The sequence below is a fragment of the Homo sapiens genome, chromosome 1, assembly GCF_000001405.40.
Source record: "Homo sapiens chromosome 1, GRCh38.p14 Primary Assembly".
Taxonomy (NCBI): Eukaryota; Metazoa; Chordata; class Mammalia; order Primates; family Hominidae; genus Homo; species Homo sapiens.
In genome coordinates, this window is record NC_000001.11 from 173,279,552 (window position 1) to 173,304,038 (window position 24,487).

A 24,487-nucleotide genomic window follows, 5' to 3' on the forward strand; every position below is an offset into this window, starting at 1 on the left:
TCCAAAACTGAACTCACCATGTCTTCATCATTATCTGCTCCTCTGTGTTTTCTAACAGTAGTAGAAAACGTGGCACCAGCCAACTTGTATTCAAGTCAGAAACTTGGCAATCATCGTAATTGCCTTCCCTTCCTTACCTACACTCCAAAAACTTAACCATGAATCTAGATAAATACTGTCACCTAGGTATTTCTCATACCCATTCCTTCTCTCATTTCCCAGTGCTACTACCTTTTTTCAGGTTTCCCGGAGTCTTCTTTGTAACACCCTTGACAACATTTAGTGCAATACCAATAATGTGTAAAAACAAAACACAAATCCATAATAATCTCACTCAACATCATTTAATTATTCTTCATTATTTTAGAATAATTATAAAATGTTTTCCATTGTCTGTGAGGCCTTTTATAAACTGCCTTCTGCCAAACTGTAGCCTCATCTCTTTTCAAACTTCTTGGTCTTCTCAGAAAATGCCTCACTTTTTCAGTCTTTCCTCTGTTTTATACACAGTGCCCCTGCCTAGGATGTCTTTTCTTCCTTTCTCTGCATACCAAACTTCCATACATCCTTCCAAATTTAAACTAGTGATGTCCTCCCTGTACACTCTTTTCATAATGTCCATCACTATAACCTAACCACCACTGTCTCCCATGTCTACTCTTCCTCTGTTCTTACCTACTCTTCCCTCCAGCCCCTCAAGAGAGGCTGGATACCACTCCTGTTTGTACCATTTTACCAATTACACCAATCGTGGTTGATCTGTCTTTCTGGTTTCTCTTCCTTTAAGTTATGAATTCCCTGAGTTCAAGGTCTGTGTCCTTCATTTTCATGTGTTCATAATCTAACTAGTAGTTGGCAGATGGTAGAGATTCAATAAATATTTGTCAAATAAATGGGTGGGGGCATGGGTGAATGAATGGATAGATGGAGAACATGAAGACAAAACACAATAATTAGTCTTAATGGTCCCTCCTCATTCAAATCATTGTTGTGAGTCCTGATAATGAATCACTACCTAACAACGACAAGTTAGTTTTTATTCCTTGGATAAGGCTGAATAAACATTTGAATGCTTTCTCTCCGGCCCTCATTTTTAGCTTTCACTATGGAAGCTTGTCTGCTTCCAATACCTTACTTTAAAGCAAATAATATAATGCAATTGATTATTTCTACTTAGTATGTTAAAATCACGTTCTAATTCTGTCTCACTGAGATTATGCCCAGATCTCATTGACTGGTGTTTGGGGAATTTCAAAAATCATGAGTCAGAAGTTTAAAGATTATTAATAATCTCTTAGCCTAACTTTAGAGATGGCTCATCTCATTCATTGTACATGGATTTTATTATTTAAACTCCCGGGCAATAACCTACTTTCCAATTTTGTAAGGGTACTTCTCAGTTGCTAGATTTAACTATTACTAGTTCTTACATAATCTTAAAACTTGAAATACTGGAAAAGAGGCTTTAAAGTCAAGAGATAAAATCAGTGTTGAGTCTCAAAAAAATGGGGAAATATTTTTTGCAATCCTGTTGTGGTTCATAAGCGTGATAATTGGGTTTTCACACTAGTACGTGAGATGCGCATTGTTAGAACAGTTTGTGGGAGGCACGTCTCACACAAAGTTCGTTGGCACATTACCCATCTGACGTGAAACAAAACAAACAAAAAAAGAAAAAAAAAGGAATATTTTTGCCAAGGGTGATTTCAATATATGGAAGAATTCAGATGTAGAGGATTATATTATATGCACTCTGAATGGAAAGAGCCCATGCTTAACAAACTTAGTAAAGATGTTTAGTATAGAAACCTGGCTTTTTAGTTCCTTAGGCAAGTTGTTCCATAAATCTAAGCTTTAATATATTCTCCTCAAGATGAGAGCAAGAACATGGGAATCAGGCAGAGTGGTATGTGCACAACATATTTCATTTATATGTCATCATCAGAAATTGAATAAGCACTAATGTATGACTGCATTTCTCAGGAAGCTATTGAATATCCCTTTAAATTATAAAAATATATATTATGACTGAAATATGCTTACATAAGAAAGCTATAATGGCTCTCTTTTTTAAGATAACATTTAGATATTTTTCTAATGGCTCAAGGTGATCAATGTTCTCAAGATCAAGGTTCTCCTCTGTGTTGGCTTGCTTCTACAGCTAGAAGGATGGAGTAATCAAATCTTCAGCCAACATTATTGAACTCATTATGCATGAGACATTTGCTAAATGCTTTAAATACATTATCTCATTTAATACTCACAACCAATCCTATGAGGGACATATTAACATTATCTATTTCAGTGAAAAATGAACTAAGACACAGAGAGAATAAGAATTTGTCCAGTCACACATCACTAACTGGCAAAGCCAAGTGTGTCCAACTCCCAGTCTTTTCATGCACAACCTCCACACAATCTTCTTATCAAAAATCTGTTTTTTCAAAGTTGATCTCATGGAGGTAGAGTAGAATGATTACCAGAAACTGGGAAGCATGGTGAGGGTGGTAAAGAGATATTGGTTGATGGGTACAAAAATATAGTTAGATAGAAGAAGTAAGTTCTAGCGTTTGATTGCACAGTAGGGTGACAATAGTTAATAAGAATTTATTGTATATTTTAAAATAGCTAGAAGAGAATATTTAGGATGTTCCCAAACAAAGAAACGATAAATGTTTGAGGTGATGGATATTCTGATTACCCTGATCTGATCATTACACATTGCATACATGTACCAAAATATCATATGCACCCCATAAGTATGTACAATTATTATGTATCAATAAAAAATGAAATAAAAGTCTGTGTTTTCTTGGTGGTTGTAGAGTTTGTTATAGGATCTTATATAAGACATTTAAACTCACTGTCTATGAATAATATGGATAGAATATGTTAAATTTCACAGTCTAAATTTTTTTTTTTTTTGAGACAGAGTCCCACTCTGTTGCCCAGGCTGGAGTGCAGTGGCACTGTCTCAGCTCACTGCAACCTCCACCTCCCAGGTTCAAGTGATTCTCCTGCCTTAGCCTCCTGAGTAGCTGGGATTACAGGCATGTGCCACCATGCCCAGCTAATTTTTGTATTTTTAATAGAGATGGGGTTTCACCATGGTGGTCAGGCTGATCTCGAATTCCTGACCTTGTGATCCACCCACCTTGGTCTTCCAAAGTGCTGGGATTACAGGCGTGAGCTACCACACTGGGCCTAAATTTTTAAATGTATAAAGTCTAAGGTTTCTTTAGCTTAAACATGTGATGACTCTTTCATTTTGTTTATATAATAAATTCTTACTAAGGTATAAATGATAAATGACTGATGACAATTTTTATATGTTATATACAGAGACCAACCTGGCAGGCATTTCCATTTATTAAATAATATCAGCTTTAACTTAAAAGAAGCTCATTTAGAAAAGATGCAGGCATCAACTGGGAGCAAATGTGAAAGCATTTTTCAGCACCAATTCTGTCCCAGATCTATCAGTACATGCTATACTGACAGCTACCTTCTTTACCTATGTCAAAGGTAAGTTACTCATTCAATGAATCATTGTGACAGGCACTGAGTTCAACTGAACATGGTTCCTGAAGACCTCCACTTTAGCCTATGTGGTGGGATACATACTCTGAAGGACTCTCCAACTGTAAAGTAGCTAGATCCTGGATAAAACAGGCCTTTGAATGTATATTTCCGGGATATCTCTGAAGGCACCAATCAACAACTTTCTCACCCCATCCTTTCCCCCCCCAAAAAAGAGAGTTGAAACCTGAGAGGGAATCAATGGGCAACAAGCAAGAAAAAGACAAGATTTTCTTCAAGTTGTTTTGATCAGTATTGCAGATAACTGAGAAACTAAGCATCAAGGAGGGTAGTCTAAATCAGAGATTCCCACAGTAAGCCAGAAACCTAGACAGAGGTGAAATGGTCTCAGTTTGGCAACCTCTTGGCTGCTAGCAGAAACAACTGGAAATCCTCTCTAGAGAAGAGCACTCTCAATCTATGGTCAGCCAAGAATTGTAGACTATTGAAACTACCTTACAAAAACAAAGGCAAAATAAAAACATTTCCAGATAAATAAAAGCTGGTAGTCACCACAAACAAACCTTCCCTAAAGAAAATTCTAAGACTATATTTCAGTCAGTAGGAAAATGTTCCCTGAAAGAAGTCTGAGATGCTGAAAAAATCATGAGCAAGAAAAATGGTAAACATATAGGTAAATCTAAACATTTTATTTATAAGAAAACCATAAGAATACAGACTGACAGATGATCTTTACAAAGTAAAGACCAAAGCAAAGGAATGACAATAATAGTACATAGGTCAAAAGGTTGAAAGTTAGGCCTCTTGTGCCAAACGGTTGGTCAACTTATGAATGCAAAAAAAAAAAAAAAAAAAAGTTCTTGAAGGAAATCATAAGTACTACTCCAGTGAACACATGAATGATAAGAAAGCAAAATAGCCTTATTGCTGATGTAGAAAAAGTTTGAGTGATCTGGAAAGATCAAACCAGCCACAACATTTCTTAAGCCAATGCCTAATCTGGAGCAAGATTTTAACTCTTTTTAATTCTAGAAAGGCTGGAAAATGTGAGGAAGCTGCAGGAGAAAAGTTTGAAGCTAGCAGAAGTCCCAGAAGGTAAGTTACTCATTCAATGAATCATTGTGACAGGCACTGAGTTCAACTGAACATGGTTCCTGAAGACCTCCACTTTAACCTATGTGGTGGGATACATACTCTGAAGGACTCTCCCACTGTAAAGTAGCTAGACCCTGGATAAAACAGGTCTTTGAGGTTCATGAGGTTTAAGGAAGGAAGCCATCTTCATCACATATAAGTGCAAGGTAAAGCAGCAAGTGCTGATGTAGAAGCTGCAGCAAGTTATCCAGAAGGTCTAGGTAAGACAATTGATAAAGGTGGCTCTACTACACAACAGGGTTTTTCAAGGTAGATGAAACTGTCTTCTACTAGAAGGAGATGCCATCTAGAACTGTCATAGCCAGAGAGGAGAAGTCAGTGTCTGGCTTCAAAGCTTCCAAAGATGGGCTGACTTTTTTGTTAAGGGCTAATGTAGCTGATGACTTTAAGTTGAAGCCAATGCTCATTTATCATTCTGAAAATCCTAGGGCCCTTAAGTAAAAATCTACTCTCCATGTGCTCTATAAATGGAACAACAAAGGCTGAATGACAGCACATCCATTTGAAGCATGGTTTACTGACTATCTTTAAGTCCATTATTAACACCTACTCCTCAGAAAAAGAGTTCTTTCAAAACATTACTACTCATTAACAATGCACCTGATCACCCAAGATACCTGATGGAGATAAACAAGAAGACAAATGTTGTTTTCATGCCTGCTAACACAACATTTATTCTGCAGTCCATGGATCAAGGAGTAATTTTGACTTTCAAGTTCTATTAAAGAAATGCACTTTGTCAGGCTATATCTGCCATAAGTAACAATTCCTCTAATGAATCTGGGCAAAGTCCATTGAAAACTTTCTGGAAAGGATTCACTATTCTAGACACCATTAATTTTTGATTCTTGTTTGGAGGTTAAAATATCAACATTAACAGGAGTTTGGAAGAACTTAATATCAACCCTCATGAATGACTGTGAAGGGTTCAAGACTTCACCGGAGGAAGTATTACGGATGTGGTAGAAATAGCAAGAGAGCTAGAATTAGAAGTGGAACCTAAACATATGACTCAATTGCTGCAATTATATGCTAAAATTTGAATGGATAAAGAGTTGCTTCCTCATTCATAGGAATGAATGAGCAAATGAGGTGTTTTTTTGAGATGCGATCTATTTCTGGTGAAGATGCTGTGAACATTGTTGAAATGACAACAAAGGACTTTGAATATTCCATAAACTTAGTTGGTAAAACAGCAGCAAGGTTTGAGAGGATTGATTCCAATTTTGAAAGAAGTTCTACTTGGGTAAAATGCAATCAAACAGCATTTCATGCCACAGAGAAGTTTTTCATGAAAGGAAAGTCAATCAGTTCAGCAACTTTATTGTTGTCTTATTTTAAGAAATTGCCACTGCCACCACAACATTCAGCAACCACCACCCTGATCAGTCAGTAGCCATCAACATCCAGGCAAGTTTCTCTACCAGCAAAAAGATTACAATTTGATGAAGGCTCAAGTGATCACATTTTTTAGCAATAAAGTATTTTTAAATTAAGCTGTGTACATTATTTTTAGACGTGATGCTATTGCACACAGTAGGCTACAGTATAGTATACATATAATTTTTATATGCACTGGGAAACCAGAAAAATGCATGTGACTGTCCTTGTTGCTATAATCTGAAACTGAACTTACCATATCTTTGAGGTATGCCTATAATTTCAACAGAGACTGCATGACCTGCAAACTTGACAATACTTACTCTGACACTTTACAAAACAGTTTGCTGACCGCTGACCAATATGAAAAGACACAGAAAAGTTAAAATATTCAGTTTATCTGGAAGATGTTTTTAATTAACTTTTTTACACCTAACAAAGTAGCTTCAGAAAATAACAAGAGAATTAAAGAAAACTTAAGTAAATGGAAGAGTATAATATGCTCATGAATTACAAAACTCAAAATTGTTACAATGTCATTTCACCTCATATAGTTCTATAGACTCAGTTCAATCCCAACTTAAGAACCCAGCTAAGATTTGATTTGTTTTGTTTTGTAAATTGAGAAGCAAATTCTAAAATGTATATAGAAATGTAAGAGACCTAGAAAAGCCAAGACAATCTAACAGAAGAAAAAAACTGGCAGACATACACTGTCTGACTTCAAACCATTATGAAACTGAAGAAATTAAGATACTGTGTAATATTGGCACAAGAATGGAGCAATGGTACAGAATAGCTATTAAGCAAGAAATATACCTACACATATACAGTCACCTGATTTGTGTCAAAGACACTAATTCAGTCAGGAAAGTACAGTCAATTCAATAGATAGTGATGGATTCAGTGGATATCCATTTTTGAAATTAACTTTAGACTCAATCTGTGCTACATGCAAAAACTTATTCCAAATGAACCATAGACCTAAACGTGAAAGTTAAAACAATAAATATTCTAATAGAAAAAAATAAAAGAATCTCTTTCTGAACTTGGGAAAGACAAACATTTCTTAAACAGGACATAAAATGCACTAACCATAAAAAAAGATTAATATATTGGACTTTCTTAAAATCAAGCATGTGTTGATCAAAAGACACTATTAAGATAATGAAAATGCAAGAAACACAAAAATAAGACAGTTTCCATACGTACATCTAACAAAGAATTATTATTTAGAATATATCTTCAACATTTTATAAATTGGTATGGAAAAGAGAAAAAAATCCAATGGACAAAAAAGCCAAATCTAGTCATTTAATAAAAAAAGACATTGAAATAACTAATAAATATATTAAAATGTGCCCAGCATCCATAGTCATCAGAGAAATGCAAATTTAAAAACCATAATGAGCTGGGCACAGCAGCTCATGCCTATAATACCAACACTTTGGGAGGTGGAGGCAGGAAGATTGCTTGAGGCCAGGAGTTCAAGACCAGGCTGGGCAACACAGCCAGATCCGATGCCCCCTGATGTCTCCACAAAAAAAAAGAATGTTTAATTAGCCAGGCATGGTGGTGTGTACTTGTAGTCCCAGCTACTTGGGAGGCTAAAGCAGGAGGATCATTTGAACCCAGGAGTTTGAGGCTGCAGTGAGCAGTAATTGTGCCACTGCACTCCAACCTGGATTGCAAAGCAAGACCCTGACTCAAAAATAAAATAAATAATTTTTAAAAACCACAATGGGATACCACTACACACCCACCAGAATTACCAAAATTAAAATATAGACAATGCCAAGTGTTGACAGCATGTTGAGCAACTGGAATTCTCATACAGTAATGATATAAGAGTAAATTGGTACCATTATTTTACAAAAGCGTTCAGTGATATCTACTAAGGCAAAACAGATGCTTGCTCTATGATTCAGCAATTATACTACTGGGCATTTATCAATAAATGTAAATGTTTATGGTCTCCATCGAAGATATGTACAAGGATGTTCTCAGAAAAGTTATTTATTATACCCCTAAACTGGAAACAACTGAAATGATTGTCAATAATAGAACGGAGAAAAATTCACACAATGGAATTCTTCATAACATTAAAAAAACTCTACTGATACAGAAAACAACACAGATAAATCTTAAACCATAATGCTGAGCAAAAAATACATATTTTATGTTTCTAATTATATAAAGTTCAAAACCACACAAAACTTATCAATATTGGTACAAGTTTGAACAGTGGTTTCCTTTGGATATTTACAGAATGTAGATACAAAGGAGGCTTCTGCAGCTGAAGAAATATTCTACATCTTGATGAGGCAGTTACATAGTGGGATGTGTGTATGTTCATATGTATAAAAATTCTTTGAACTAGACATTTAAGATTTGTGTATTTTACCATGTGTAATGTATACTCAATATCTTTAAAGTTTCCAAATACATAAAGCAAAAATTTATAGAACTATAAAGAGAAGTTAACAACTTCACCATCTGGTATTAGATTTCAACATGTATCTCTCATCAATAAATAGCCAAGCACGGGGTGGCTTGCACCTGTAATCCCAAATCCCAGCACTTTGGGAGGCCAAGGTGGGTGGATTGCTTGATCTCAGGAGTTTGAGACCAGCCTAGGCAACATGGCAAAACTGCATCCCTATGCTGGGTGTGGTGGCATGCACCTGTAGACCCAGTTACTTGGGGGGCTGAAGCGGGAGGACTGCTTGAGCCCAGGAGGCAGAGGTTGCAGTGAGCTGAGGTGGTGCCACTGCATTCCAGCCTGGGTGACAGAGCCAGACCCTGTCTCAAAAATAAATAAATAAATAAATAGCCAAGCAAACAGAAAATTAGCAAAGATATAAAAAATTTAAACACAATATGATTGATTTAATGAACATATATAGAAATGGTTCCCAATAATTAAAAAATACCCTTTTCTCTCATATACATGTGAAATGTTTGTAAGATAGCAATAAGTCAAATCCAACAAATTTCAGTTATTTGTTGTTATATTAGAACACATTCACAGAGTACAATAAAACTAAGTTCAAAATAAATAAAAAAATTAAAACTCTCATATCTTTTCAAAATTGTAAAACACAATTGTGAGTAATTCATGGGTTAAAATAAAATCATAATAGAAATTTCAAAATCTTTAAAACTAAACAATAATAAAAACACTACCAATCAGGACTGCCACTTGACATGATGGAATAATTGAAACCATACTTCTCCTTCTCCTTTGTAAAACTAGAAAAATATATGAAACTATGTTTTAAGAAATTGTACACAGTATGTAAATGGAATTTTTAAGAGAAAGAAAATAAACTAAGAGACCCCTATGCCTACTCTTGATTTCCACCTGGAGGAATTTCCAGACTACAGTGCAGAGAAAGAGAACCCAAGCAGAGACCAATTGTCTCACTAAGTTTAAGAGACAGAAAGGAGCTCTGTGAGTTGAGGGGAACAGGGAGGCCAAAGTGATTAGGTTTTTCAAGTCAGTGTTGGAGAAAAGGAAACTATGCATAGAAAAGGCTCTAAACCTCTAAAAATATGCAATGTGGTCCCCTTGAGTCCATTGATAAATACTAAACCATCTGTGTAGATGGCATAACGTGAGGCCAAAAATTATAGGAGAGCTCTAAGATGAAGATTTATATAGAAATGTAAGAGACACAGCGCTCACATAAGTGAGGGGTCGGGGGGGCAATTTTTTAGTTAATGAATGCTATCTTGAAATTTCCCAAAGCTTAAAAACAATTTTAAAATGAATAAACTGATCCACAAGTAATTTAACTGCTTCTCAGAATTTTTCCAACACTCTTTAAAGAAAGACAACCAAATCTAAACATTCAGCAATGTAACAATCACAATGTCCAGCATATAATAAAAATTACTTTTTAAAATTACTAGACATGCAAATATGAGAGAAATGTGACCCATAGCCAGCAGGGGGAAAAGTCAGTAAAATCAGCCAAGAAATGACACTAATGGCAAAATTAACAAACAATAAGCTCAAGTGTGTAAATGAACACATGAACATAATAAGAGTAAAATAGACGATTAAAAGAATTAATGGGAATTCAACAACTGAAAAATGCAGTATCTGAATTGAAAAATTCAGTGAATGGCATTAACAGCAAATAAGAAACTGCAGAAGAATACATCAGTGAGGTTTAAGATATGCAATAGAAACCACCTAAACCTAAGTACCAAGATAGAAAAAAATAAACAAAACCTCGGTGAGCTATAGGGCAATATCAAGAAATCCAACAGAAGTGTAACTGGAGTTCCAGAAGGAGAAGAGATATATTTGAGGCTAAAAAAAAAAAATCTGAAGAAATAATGGTTCAACATTTTCCAAGGTATTGTGAAAATTACAAGCCTATAGACCCAAGAATCTTGATGAACCACAAGCAGAATAAAAATAAATAAAACCTGACCAGGTACATTATAATCAAATTACCTTAAAACGAAAACATCATGAACATATCTGCCACCACAAAAACACACTCAAGTACACGGCACACTGACACTATAAAGCAACTACACAATCAAGTCTACATAACAACCATCTAACAACATGATTGCAGGATCAAATTCTCACACATCAATATCAACCTTGAATGTAAATGGGCTAAATGCCCCACTTAAAAGGCATAAAGTGGCAAGTTGGATAAGGGAGCAAGACCCGACTATCTACTGTCTTCAAGAGATCCACCTCACATGTAACGCTCATAGGCTTAAAGTCAAGGGACGAAGAAAGGTCTATCATGCAAAAAGAAAACCAAAAAAAGAGCAGGGGTTACTATTCTTATGTTGGATAAAACAAATTTTAAATCAAAAATAATAAAAAACAATAAAGAAGGGCATTACATAATGATAAAGAGTTCAATTCAACAAGAAGACTTAACCATTTTAAGCATATATGCACCCAACATTCACACTCCCAGATTCATAAAACGAATTCTTAGAAGAAACTTAGATAACCACACAAGAATAGTGAGAGACTTCAACACCCCACTGACAGTGTTAAGCAGATCATCGAGACAGAAAACTAAAAAGATATTCCAGACTTAAACCTGACACCTGACCAATTGGACCTAATAGACTTCTACAGAATACTCCACCCAACAACAACAGAATATACATTCTTCTAATCTGCACATGGCACATACTCGAAGACCAACCACATGCCTGGCCACAAAGCAAGTCTCAAGAAATTAAAGAAAAAAATCATACCAACCACACTCTCAAACCATAGTGCAATAAAAAAAGAAAGTAATACCAACAAGCTCTCTCAAAATCATACAATTACATGGAAATTAAACAACTTGCTCCTGAATGACTTTTGGATAAAGAACAAAATTAAGGCAGTATATTAGTTCATTCATGCATTGCTATAAAGAAATACCTGTGGCTGAGTAATTTATAAAGAAAAGCAGTTTATTTGTCTAATGGTTCTGCAGGATATACAGGAAGCACAATGGCATCTGCTTCTGGGGAGGCCTTAAAGAGCTTTCACTCCTAGTGGAAGGCAAAACAGGAGCGAGCACCTTACGTGGTAAAAGCAGGAGCAAGGGTGCGGATGGGAGGAGGCGCCACACACTTTGAAACAACCAGATCTCATGAGCACTTACTATCATGAGGACAGCATCAAGGGGATGGTGCTAAATCAGTCATAAGAAGTCCACCCTTATGATCCAATCACCTCCCAAAGGCCCCACCTCCAACACTGGGAATTACATTTCAACATGAGATATGGGCAGGGCCACATATCTAAACTCTATCAGGCAGAAATCAAAAAAATTTTTGAAACTAATGAAAAGACAGACACAACATACCAGAATCATTGGGACACAGTTAAAGCATGTTAAGAGGAAAGTTTATAGCACAAAGTGCCTACATCAAGAAAGTAGGAAGATCTCAAATTAATAACCTAACATCACACCTAGAGGAACTAGAAAAATAAGAGCAAACCAACCACAAACATAGCTTAAGAAAAGAAGTAGCCAAAATCAGAGCAGAACTGAATGAAACTGAGGTGCAAAAATCCATACAAAGGTCACTGAAACCAAAAGTTAACTCTTTGAAAGAATAAGCAAGATTAAAAGACTGAAATCTAGATCAACAAAGAAAAAAAGAGAAAAGATCCCTATAAACACAAATATAAATGACAAAGGTGACATTACAAAAGACCCCACAGAAATATAAATAGTCCTCAGAGGCTGTTACAAACACCTAGGCTATTAAACAAACTAGACAACCCAGAAGAAATAGATAAATTCCTGAACACACAACCTCCCCAAGATTGAAACCCTGAACACAACAGTAACCAGTTCCAAAATTAAATCAATAATAAAAAAAAATCTACCAACAAAAAAAAAACCTAAACCAGAAAAATTCACAGCTGAATTATACCAAACGTATAAAGAAGAGCTAGTATCAATCCTACTGAAATTATTCCAAAAAAGTGAAGAGGAGGGACTCCCCTCTAACTCTTTCTATGAAACCAGCATCAGCCTGATACCAAAATCATGCAGAAACACAAGGAAAAAAAACTTCAGGCCAATCTCCCTAATAAACATAGATGCAAAAATCTTCAACAAAATACTAGCAAATCATATCCAGTAGCACATCAAAAAGTTAATTCACCATGATCAAGTAGACTTTATTTCTGAAATGCAAGGTTAGTTCAACATATGCAAATCAATAAATGTGACTCACCACATAACAGAATTAAAAACAAAAACCATATGATCATCTCAATAGATGCAGAAAAGGCTTTCAATAAAATTCAACATCCCTTTATGTTAAAAATGCACAACAAATGAGGCATCAAAGAAACACAGCTCAAAATAATAAGAGCCATCTATAACAAACCCACAACCAACATTACACTAAATGGGCAAAAGCTGGAAGCTGGAAGCATTCCCCTTGAGAAGTGGGGAATGACAAAGATGTCCATTCTCACCACATCTATTCAACGTAGTACTGGAAGTCCTGGAAGCCAGAGCAATCAGGAAAAAAAAAAAGAAATAAAAGGCATCCAAACAGGAAGAGAAGAAGTTAAATTATCTCTCTTCACAGATAATAGAATTCTATACTTAGAAAACCCCAAAGACTCTGCCAAAAGGGTCCTAGAACTGAAAATTACTTCAATAAGGTTTCAGGATATAAAATCAATGTACAAAAATTAGTAACATTTCTACTCAACAATAATGTTCAAGCCAAAAGCCAAACCAAGAGTCCAATCCCATTAAAAATACCCAGAAAAATAAAATACCAAGAAATACCGCTAACCAAGGAAGTGAAAGCTCTCTATAATGAGAATTACAAAATACTGCTGAAAGAAATCTGAGGTGACAAAAATAAATGGAGAAATATTCCATGCTCATGGATAGGAAGAATCAGTATTGTTAAAATGGCCATACTGCCCAAAGCAATTTACTGATTTAATAGTATTCATATCAAACTACCAATGTCATTTTTCACAGAATATGGAGTGAAAAAAGAGCCAAAAGCCAAGGCAATCCTAAGCAAATAGAACACAGCCAAAGACATCATACTACCCAACTTCAAACTATACTATAAGGCTACAGTAACCAAAACAGCATAGTATTGGTATTTAATACAAAAACAGACCCCACAGACCAACGGAACTGCATAGAAAACTTTGAAATAAAGCTGCACACCTACAACCATCTGATCATCAACAACACTGACAAAAACAAGCAATGAGGAAAAGACTCTTCAATAAATGGTGCTGGGATTACTGGCTAGCCATATGCAGGAGATTGAAACCGGACCCCTACTTTCACCTTATACAAAAATCAACCCAAGATAAATTAAAGACTTAAATTTAAGACCTGAAACTCTAAAAATCCTAGAAGAAAACCTAGGAAATACCATTCTGGACACTAGTCTTAGCAAAGAATTTATGACTAAGTCCCCAAAAGCAATTGCGATAAAAATGAAAATTGACACATGGGACCTAATTAAACTAAAGAGCTTCTGCACAGCAAAAGAAACTATCAACAGAGTCAACAGGCAACCTACAGAATGGGAGAAAATATCTGCAAACTATGCATCTGACAAAGGTCAATATTCAGAATCTATAAGGAACTTAATGCATCAAGCAGAAAAACAAATAACCCTGTGAAAAAATGGGTAAAGGACATGAATGGACACCTCTCAAAAAAGACACACATGAAGCCAACAAATATATTTAAAAATGCTCAACATCACTAACTATCAGAGAAATGCAAATCAAAACCACAATGAGATACTGTCTCACACCAATCAGAATAGCTATTATTAAAAAGTCAGATGTTGACAAGGTTATGGAGAAATGGGAATGCTTATGCACTGCTGGTGGGAATGTAAATTAGTTCAGCCACTGTGGAAAGCAATTTGAAGATTTCTCAAAGAACTGCAAACAGAACTGCCCTTCAACCCAGCAATCCCATTACTGGTATATACCCAAAGAAAAATAAACCATTCTATTTAAAAGATACATGCACTCGTATGTTCATCATGGGACCATTCATAACAGCAGACAGATAGAATCAACCTAAATGCCCATCAACAGTAGACTAGATAAAGAAAATGTGGTATATATACAAATAGAATACTACACAAACATGAGAAATAACAAAATCATGTTCTTTGCAGCAACATGGATGCAGCCAGAGGCTATCATCCTAAGTAAACTAGCGCAGGAACAGAAAACCAAATACTGCACATTCTCACTTACGAGTAGGAGTTAAACATTAAGTACACTCAGACACAGATATAGGAACAATAGACACTGGGGCTACTAGAATGGGGAGGGTCATAGATGAGGGTTCAAAAACTATCAAGTACTATGCTCACTACCTGAGTGATGGGATCATTCATACCCCAAACCTCCACAACATATATTTATGTAATAAACCTGCAGGTGTACCCCTAAACCTAAAATAAAAGTTTTTTAAAAGTAAAAACAAAACAAACCCCCCAAAAAATAAAAAGGAAGAACAGATTAAGCCCAAACAATAAAGGGCAAAATAATAAATATGTGTACAGAAGTCAATCACACTGAAATGGGGCAAACAATAGAGAAAAATCAGTGAAACTCAAAGTTGGACTTTGAAAAGAACAATCCACAAATGTGGAACCTGTGGATACAGAGGGCAGACTAGGAGAAAAGCCACAGACAGGCAGAAAAATATTTGCAGTACATATGACTGAAAAAACTTTTATTCAGAATATATATTTTTTAAATTCTTAACAACTGAATACTGAGAAGACAATCCAATTTTTTAACGGGCAAAATATTTGAATAGTCACATCACAAAAATTATACAAATCTCTGATGAACACATGAAAAGATGCTCATCATAATTAGTCAACAGAAAACTGCAACATAAAACCACAGTCAAATACCACTACACACCCACTAGAATGGCTAGGATTTAAAAGACTGACAATAACAAGTATAGATGAGCAACTCTCATACACTGCTGGTGGAAGCTGAAAATGATACAACCCTTTTTTAAAATACTTGGACCATTTCTTATAAAGTTAAACATACATTCACCATATGACCCAACAATTCCACGTCTAAGTAATTACCCAGGAGAAATGCAAACACATTTTCACACAAAAATATGTATGTTCATAACAGCTTTATTCATAATAGCTAAAAGCTGAAAACAACCTAAATTCATCATGAAACAAATGGATAAGCAAATGGTGATGTATCCATCCCACAAAATACTAACCTATAATAAAAAGGAATTAATCATTGTTCAAAGAAGTGCCCCAGGATCTTGATCCCACTTGTTTAAAATTTCCTTTGAAAGCTCTTGCTCATGTCTTCACCTGATCTGGACACAACAGTACTGGCACCCATCAAATGGAAAGTTGGCTCAACTTTAATTTTCAGTCAAAATTGTGTAAGCAGAACCAATTGAGATGCCTGTGGTGTTAGTTATTGTTTCTGCTGTTAATCCTCAGGCCTGAAGAGAGCTGACATAAACAAGATGAATTTTTTCCTTGGAAATTGACATGGAAGCTCTGTCACTGTGAGCTTCATCTTCAACGTCATCTTATCCCTTCTTAAAATGAGCTATCTATTTGTAAACTGCTGATTTATTTGGGTCATTGTCCCCATAAACTTTTCTTAAAGCATCACTGATTTCACCACTCTTCCACCCAAACTTCATCATAAATTTGATGTTTGTTCCTGCTTCAATTTTAGCAGAATTTGTATGGCTCTGATAGGGTCTTTTTTCAAACTGACATCTTATCTTTCTAAGTATCTCAAACTAGCTCCTGTTCAGACATGTTATAGCAAGTTAGTACAAGTTTATTTGGGTGAAAAAAATTGAAATCTATGCATAGTTTTTTCATAATACACATTTTCCATGAATGTTTTTAAGAACCCTAGTACATTCCTATTAAATGGAGAAGTAAAAGATGTTATGCAACCACACAGAAGGAGTGCCTAGCCCAGTTTTCTGTCATCCTAGAGGGCTCCTCAGAGGAAGTGATTTTTGAGACAAGTATGAGTTAGCCAAAGAGTTAGGAAGAGAATGTGCTTGGTTAGAAATCCTGACCCCTTGGAAACCAAAGGTGATGTCATCAAGCACAGCTACCCATTGCAAATGACATGTCTCATTACGTGAATTTCAGTTCTACCCAACAAATATTTATTAAAGTCCTAATATATAGAAGGCATTCTATTCTACATATTGGAGCCAAAGAGGAAGAAAAAAGTGTGAGGATGAGTCATGCCTTCAAGGAGCTTACAATATGTTGAAGAGGAAGAGCTTAAACACACACAAAAAAATACAGAGTTTTCATAGTAATCTAAATCAGCTTTAAAAGCCACCTATGCCACACACAAGTGATCATTTACTCTAAGTAATGTAAGGTGTGGTGGCTTTTTTAACTGGCAGGAGAGAAGGCTGCAAAGGGGGTTGAGTGAGGGGTAGGGAGACAAAAGAAGGAAAGACTACAGGCTTGGGAAAGGATCTTGACAGCCATAGATACACTGCCAAGCACAGACTTCCTACTGTGTTAGTGGACATGGGTAGGCAGGAAAAATAGGGCATGCTTCTTCTGACTATTTTTCTTCTGATCACCTTTAGCCATCGCCAATCATGCTTCCCCTATAGCAGAAGATTGTGCCTGACATGTTCTGGCAAGGAAAATGGTATGGATGGACAGATGTAATGGAGAAGCAAAATCACATGTAAGAACCCAACATCCAGCTTACCCTCAGCACAGCCTCTCAATAGGCCTTGGAGTCCCAGGTAGACAGTGCCCAGAAAAGCAGATATTACTACTTCCCTTCCTTCTCAGGAAACTGGAAGAAAGCCCACACATTATAAAGTTTAGTTCATCAGTGAATAAACATACACTGACAGTTCTGGGTTCCAGACTGGAGACATAATGATGAGCAAGAGAGTTTTTGTCCTCATGATGTCTAGTGGGAGAGAAAGATACAGAAAATACAGGGAAGAGTATAAGGTGCCATTGGAGTACAGAGAAAGGTAGCCAGCCTATCCTTAGGGAGACAGGGCAGACTTCCATGAGAAAAATGTTTTCATTATATTCATACACCATCTAATGATATGTTAGACCTTGTTTCCTTTAAGAAATCTTGGGGGGCAAGAAGGGAGAAGTTATCTGGCAACACACGAAAAAAAAAGATCACTGGTATGGCAGACAGACTTGTCACAGTCCAAGTAAAGTCAAGTTTCACAGTCATTGCTGTTTGCTTTATGGATAAAACAAATGTACTGTTGGCAAAGCCAGGGTTGAGTGCCGGATTCAATAGCCCATAAATCCTGAAGTAACAGAAAGCACAAAACAGACCTGGCCCCAATCTGCACTGCTGCTTTGTTGAAATTATCCTGGCCACTCATCAGCTCCCAGAGATGGAGGCCAAACCAGAAAAAGTAGGTGCTAGGAGCAAGGAATTGAAGTTGAAGGAGGAGTTCATCCATATCTGGCCCATGAGAGGAGGCTGCAGGAGAGAATACGAAATATGCAAGGCAGCCCACACTGGTTTCTTGACCAAAAGAGAGGGAAATAGATAAATGAATGAATGAATGAGAGGATGTATAGATGGGTTGTTGGAAGGAAGAATACAGTGAGGGGAGCAGAATATGCTACAGCAAACCTCTGGGGTAGAAGGGAAAGCTGGTCTCAATGTGGCCAACCAACTGGGAAATGCCTCTGGTTAGAAATCATTCAACTATGCCTCCTTGGAGTTGACCACATGACATTTATCTCCAGTTTTTTAAACCAAAACCAAGGCTGTATCATCAATGTTGAAAAAGCTGAGAATTCAAAGGCAACGTTTCCGATGCTGTGGGTAGAGTCTGGGGAAGTCCAGGCTAACTCTACCCTGACCTGAAGGCTGATCACTTACTTTCAGGACAGGGGCTGAGAGAGGACTGTCACGGGGAAAGATTAAAAATGAGACCAAAGCAACCACGACCACAACAAAAAGAGAGAGCAATAAAGAGAGACTTAGAAATGAACACCCACTTGCTTTCAGATGAAAAGCTTGAGTCAAAGTGGTGTTAAGGAGGTGACAGATCCTATATTATAGCCAAGAACCCCCAAAACTAAACAAATACAGTGGTTTTTCTTTCCTCTCAGTAATATGATTGCTGTTTACCTGGTGCAGGAAACAGGGTAAGAATGGGAGGAAGAGACATGCTCTAAGATGCATAATGGTTTAGTTAACATGTAATTCAGTCAGCTGATTTGTCTGTCTATTTTGTGTTTTGTTCTGTTTTCAATTTGCTTTAGTAGAGCTGGCCTGAGTTAGAGTGGTGAAGTAGGAAATGGTAGTCTTTGGTACCCAAGGAAAATTCCACCTTTCTTCCTCACCCCTTCTTTTTTGGAATCTCCTGCCTCATTCCCTCTGTTTGTATCATCCACACTTCACTCTGCACTACTCTCAAATTTCAGGGGCTCCTCATGCTAACTGAGGCTGTTTAGCCAGAGCAGGACTCCCACAGCTACAGCTTCTCTGAGCTCTTCTTTAGCAGCAGTGTACAAAAGGCCTTTACAAGCATTTTGTTTGTTACTGTGCACAACAACCCTGTGGAAGAGTCAGCCAAAATATCATCATCACTAATTTACAGATGAGGAAGTAAAATGACTTGTTCTATGGTAAGTGGCAGATTTTGGTAAGGACCCAGGTCTTTTAACTCAGAGATAAAAGAGTTTCAGAGTTCTTTTAAGCAAATCACACTGGATAAATGAAAGAGGATATATAAAATATAATTCATACAGAAATTTAGTAGCTATATAACAATGAGTACTTAACATGACACCTCTAAACTAATAACTATGAGTGATATATCCAGTTTGTTAACATTTTCCAATTATACATTTGAAATTAAAAGTACCAGTCACTTGAGAAATTGTTGGGATATGATGTCCTTTACCTAACAATAATTTTTAAATATTGTAGTGGATGCTGTGGTATGCCACTCAGTGCCAGATTCAACAGCCAGATTCAACAGCCCATAAATCCTGATGTCTAATCTGCATCCAGAATTGAAGCACACTCCTTTTCCCCACTGCTTTTAGGAGTATTGACAGCAGCTGACAGCTCTCAACTGCATCATTCTCTGGAAACTGCCCTAAGCTTATGAAAGCTGCTTTGCCCAAGATCATGGCTCACTCCCAGGGCCAACCTGCATCTGATCACTGGTGGATGGGAAATAAAGACCCAGTTCCCTTGCCCCAAGGTGTTAGGATTCTGAGGGGCTATCTAAAGACTCAGGGCATCTATGAGGATTGCATGAGGACTTGTGACTGTTTTGCATTTCACTTCTTCCCTCTACCCAATCCTACTTCTTTCCTTCTCCCACGGGAAATATTCAAACAAATCCCCTTGAAATACTTTTCTACTAGTTTAGGACCTCTAACTACTAAATTGCATTGTGTTTTAGCAAAAGATCCACAGGAGGTAACTCATAAGTGCTTTTTGTATTGACTATTTGATTTATGAGCCTGGAATTAAGGCTTTATATGGCTTTATATGGGATGATGCATAAGAGTTATTTTTGCAAACAATCTAAATTTGTAATCATGAATACAGAGTTAACCTGTTTCTCAGACTGTGGTAACTATATGAATTAGGATTCCACCTGCCCCCAACATGTAAAGTTGGGAGGGGGAACATAAGAAGGAATAGGGGATGTGGGAAGACATGCATTAACTATAAGCAGTTTTCTTGTAGTGTCAGGGGTAGGCTGAGGGGCTCATCAACTAAAGATTAAGTTGTATTTAAACCCATTGTCAACTGCTCACATGGCCAAAAAATTACTTTTAGGCTAATTTCTCTCAATCTCTAAAAGGCATATTTTACGGATTTTTTATGAGTTCAATAAATCAGGCTATATTGGTCATTTGATTATTGCTCATTATAATCCCCTACTTCCCCCAAAATAGATGGTAGATAGATAGATAGATAGATAGATAGATAGATAGATAGATAATAAATAGATGATTGATAGATACATACATACATACATACATACATACATACATACATACATATAAGATAAAAGCAGAAGTTGGTATTTAAAGTCCCCAAGGAAGAGCAAGCAGCCCTAGAGTCCTTCCTCTTTGGCCTACCCATATTGGGAGTCTCTCCAGCCAGGAACTTCCTATGAGGAATAGGAGGAGAGAAGGTATAGGAGGAGAGAAATCCTGTAATTCAGAGAAGACATGAAAGATAGTATCTGCCACTTGGATTGACATTTTACTTTACCAGCCCTTAGTAGAATCTCAAAGGTCCCTGGGACACTCTGTTGCTGAGGAGGGATTTTCTTACGTTAGGGATTTCCCCCAATAGTCTCTGCAAGTTTCTCTCTCCATAGTTGTTGACAGCCACTATCTCACTGCCCAAATGGTACTGGATTTTGTTGATCACTGGATTTGCGATGCTACAGGCATTAATGGAAACATAAGTAATGGAATTTTTTCTACCTTTTTCTTTCAAGTGGAGTGCTCCACCCCCACCCCAAAAAATAAACAAAATCAACATAATTTCCAGTTTTCTAGAATGAGTAAACATTCAATCCAAACTATTATAACTGCTATGATTAATTTCTAAAACATTTTTACTATGAGTTGATCTTATTTTGAAAGTAAAAGCAAAGTGTATTGGAGGAGCATATCTGACTTTAAATCCTGGGTTTACTGTTTAGTGTCAATGTGATCTTGAGCAGTTTACTTAGGTGCCTTTATCAGGAAAGTAGGGATTATAATGTCATTGTAGTTTTTATGAAGAACAAATGTACTGTTTGAGAAACGTAATTTACGTGAACGAATGATAACCATTCTTACAGTTTTATGCATTCCAAATGCTCACTACAAAAATCCAGTATTTTTAAAAAGATTCATTTAATTTCTTTATGCCTAAGTCTATTTATAAAACACTACTGCTGGACTAGTTGAATTCCAAGGTTGCTTTCCATTCTGACTTTCTATGATCTAATTGTAACACATGAACAGAGCAAATGAAGAAGCTATTATCTTTATACAGAACTTTAACAAATCTATTTTGATAGAAAATTAGGTGAATGAGACAGACCACCACCTTTCCCAGCACTTTGATTAATTTATAACCAAATGTTGTTCTTTAAGTGCTTGAGATTTAAAGGAGTAATAAGAACATTAAAGATTTTTAAGTAAAAAGTTCCATTTTTTTTACCATAAATGTCATTACAACTCTTGTCTAAAAAATGGAGTTATTCTAATTAATTAATTCTTTGGGTTGTTGTGAAGATTCAACTTTTAGGTAAATATAAATAATTAAGCACAGTGCCTGGCACATAAGAGCAAATCAAAAGCAGCTATTAGTATTAACTATTATAGCAAAAGTATTTCCAAACACTCTCTGCCATTGCTCCTATTCTTTGCATGAATGACTCATTCACTCATTAATTCATTCAGCAAATATCTGTTGAACACCATAGGTCATCTCCTCCCAAAGCCTTTTTCTAATTACTCAGTCTAGGCCACACCTCCTCATCCAACACCACCACACTGTCACTCCTTCATATCACTATGCTTCATTTGATCCAAAAATGCTTATCACCACCTACAACTATCTTGTTCATTTATTTGTTTACTCACTTATTTTCTGCTACCACCCATGCACCCCACCCCCACCCTACAGAACATACATTCCATAAAGGCGGAAATCATGTCTTCTCATTTACCACTTCTCATTCCCTGCACTCACATAAATTGATTCAACTTTAATAGCAAAATACCATACAAAAACTAATTGAACAATTCACTCGTTTTTCTTTGTCAGTTATTTTGATGTGTGGAATTTATGGGAGAAAAAAAGCTAAAAGAATTGAGGTCATTTAATTTACAGAAGAGAAATAAACTTTTTAAACGGCCTTTAATAGTCTGGAAGCCTGGGTTCTAGTACTGTGAGACCCTGTGCAGGTCCTCTCAAACCGTGTTCTTCTCTATAAAATGGGAAGGATGATATCCACTAGGACAAATGCATTCATAGGGCTGACATAATGGCAAAGCACAAATATAGCTAGCATTTGTGTAAGACCCTATTCTTTAAAACACACTTTGACACTCATTTATCCAAATGAGTCTTACAAAAGTGACTCTCTGAAGTACAGAAGAAAAAGAGTTATTTTATTTTTCTGTTTTACAGAAGAAGACACTGATTGTAGAGAGTTCTGACATCCCTAAGAAGCAAGGAAGAGAAAGAAAGAGGGCAGGAGAAAGAGAAGGGTAAACCAGCATATGTGAAAGATGTTATTGTTCATCACACTCTTTGACCTCATCTCCCATGATCCTCTAGGACACTCTCATTCCCGTTTTATAGATGAGAAAACCAAAGTTCAGACAATTTAAGGTAATGACTGACCCACAGGTAGACTACTGGTATGTGAAGATAACAGGGTATGACATCAGTTCCTCCAACTTCCAATCCCATACTGTTTTTACAATGTGGCTTCCAAGAAATGATCAAGGGCAAGATATCTAAAAAAAGATAAACATGCTATGAAAATAAAACTAAAAATCACTTAATCATTTTTAAACAAAGAAAGTCATCAACTCTTTCTTTTTTTTTTTCCATTTTTAGCTGAGCTCCAGAGGAAAATCACATGGAATAACATGAGGATTGGCTATGAGGAATAATTTAATAACAAGTAGTGTTTTAGCCACTGATGACGTTATAAAAGACACCTTTGAAAAACAGTTTTAAGATGTGATTAAACCCTGACATCAAACCATTCATCATTCCAACAGGATTTAAATGAGGGTCTGTATGATGACAGAGGTATAGGTATTAATTGAGGATTCCTAGTGTAACAATTAAAGAAAGAGGAAAGAAACATGAAAAGCGGCTGGACAGTCAAGACAGATTCATTTTACAGAAAACAAACCTGAGAGGTGCCTTCTGACCAAGTTAGGTCAGAGCCACACTCTCTTACAGACTGAGTTTTTAAGGATTCAGGGTGGGAGAGTTTATCAGAGGCTTAGACTGCTTCTGTGTCTCTTTGTTGTGCTTATCTGGGAGGGAGAGTTGTGTGTCTGTTCCCACACATCTTTCTGCAGCTGCAGTCATACCCCCCAAGTCTGCTTTTAGCTTACCCATCTCAGTGCCCCTGAAGGGAAAGGAATGTGCTTATTAAGGCCCACTGTTTTACTGGGGCTCATTGTATGAGGGTGAAATTTGGTAGTTACCCAAGAGACTTTCCCCCCACCTCCCTCTGTGCCCAAGCTGTCTTATCTGTGTTTTCCTGTCTGCTCTTTCTGGCTGCTCTTTCCGTAGTTAGAAGAGGTTTCCTTGAAATGCATGAGGCTAGAATGGGAGGTGGAATTTAAAGTGGCGGTGTTTGTCCGAGATGACGGCGCTCCTGCTCTATCACCTAGTTTATGTGATCCTTGATCTTTATAAAATGGAACTATCTTTTTAAATTATAAAAGATGTTTTTATACGTTTTTTAATTCAGAAGTGAATAACGTAAAAAACATCCCACAAACTCCTCTCATAAACCTTTCCCCAGAGATAATCATCATTAACAACTTGATATAGAGCCTTCTACACTATTTGTGTATGCATACATAACTAAATATTATATTATTCTCTACATATGATTATGTGATTATTCTCTACATACTGTTCTCTAACCATTTTTTCTACTCTATATGATAGACAAGATTCCAGGTCAATAATATATAAGTAAGTCACCCTTTTACTTTTCAATGACTACACAGTGAAAATATCATAATTATTTTTATTCTGTGTTTAAGAATTTAATGCAACAGCATTTTCAGAAGAAAGATATATTGCTTTAAAAATATCTTTTTATTCTCCTGTCCAGTTTTAACTGCCCACACAGTT

The 24,487-nt window shown here is 36.4% G+C and overlaps 1 protein-coding gene, 1 long non-coding RNA gene and 1 pseudogene across 3 annotated transcripts in view, besides 2 other annotated features; 1 reads left to right on the plus strand and 2 right to left on the minus strand.

The window, feature by feature from the left end:
• TNFSF4 (TNF superfamily member 4) overlaps nucleotides 1–24,487 on the minus strand; it is a 277,864-nt gene that overhangs the window by 106,682 nt on the left and 146,695 nt on the right. The window lies entirely within an intron of this gene.
• Nucleotides 1–24,487, minus strand: part of LOC100506023 (uncharacterized) — a 242,096-nt gene that overhangs the window by 44,492 nt on the left and 173,117 nt on the right. The gene's annotated exons all lie outside the window — the stretch shown is intronic.
• LOC124904846 (uncharacterized) lies at nucleotides 1,526–1,650 on the plus strand (annotated as a pseudogene).
• Nucleotides 15,845–16,045: a silencer, noted in NCBI's record as "peak458 fragment used in MPRA reporter construct". NCBI's record gives its function as "represses an SCP1 promoter by STARR-seq MPRAs in K562 erythroleukemia cells {active_cell/tissue: K562}" and the evidence as "EXISTENCE:reporter gene assay evidence [ECO:0000049][PMID:32103011]".
• Nucleotides 18,610–18,659: an enhancer, noted in NCBI's record as "active region_2099". NCBI's record gives its function as "activates an Ori minimal core promoter by ATAC-STARR-seq in GM12878 lymphoblastoid cells {active_cell/tissue: GM12878}" and the evidence as "EXISTENCE:reporter gene assay evidence [ECO:0000049][PMID:35858748]".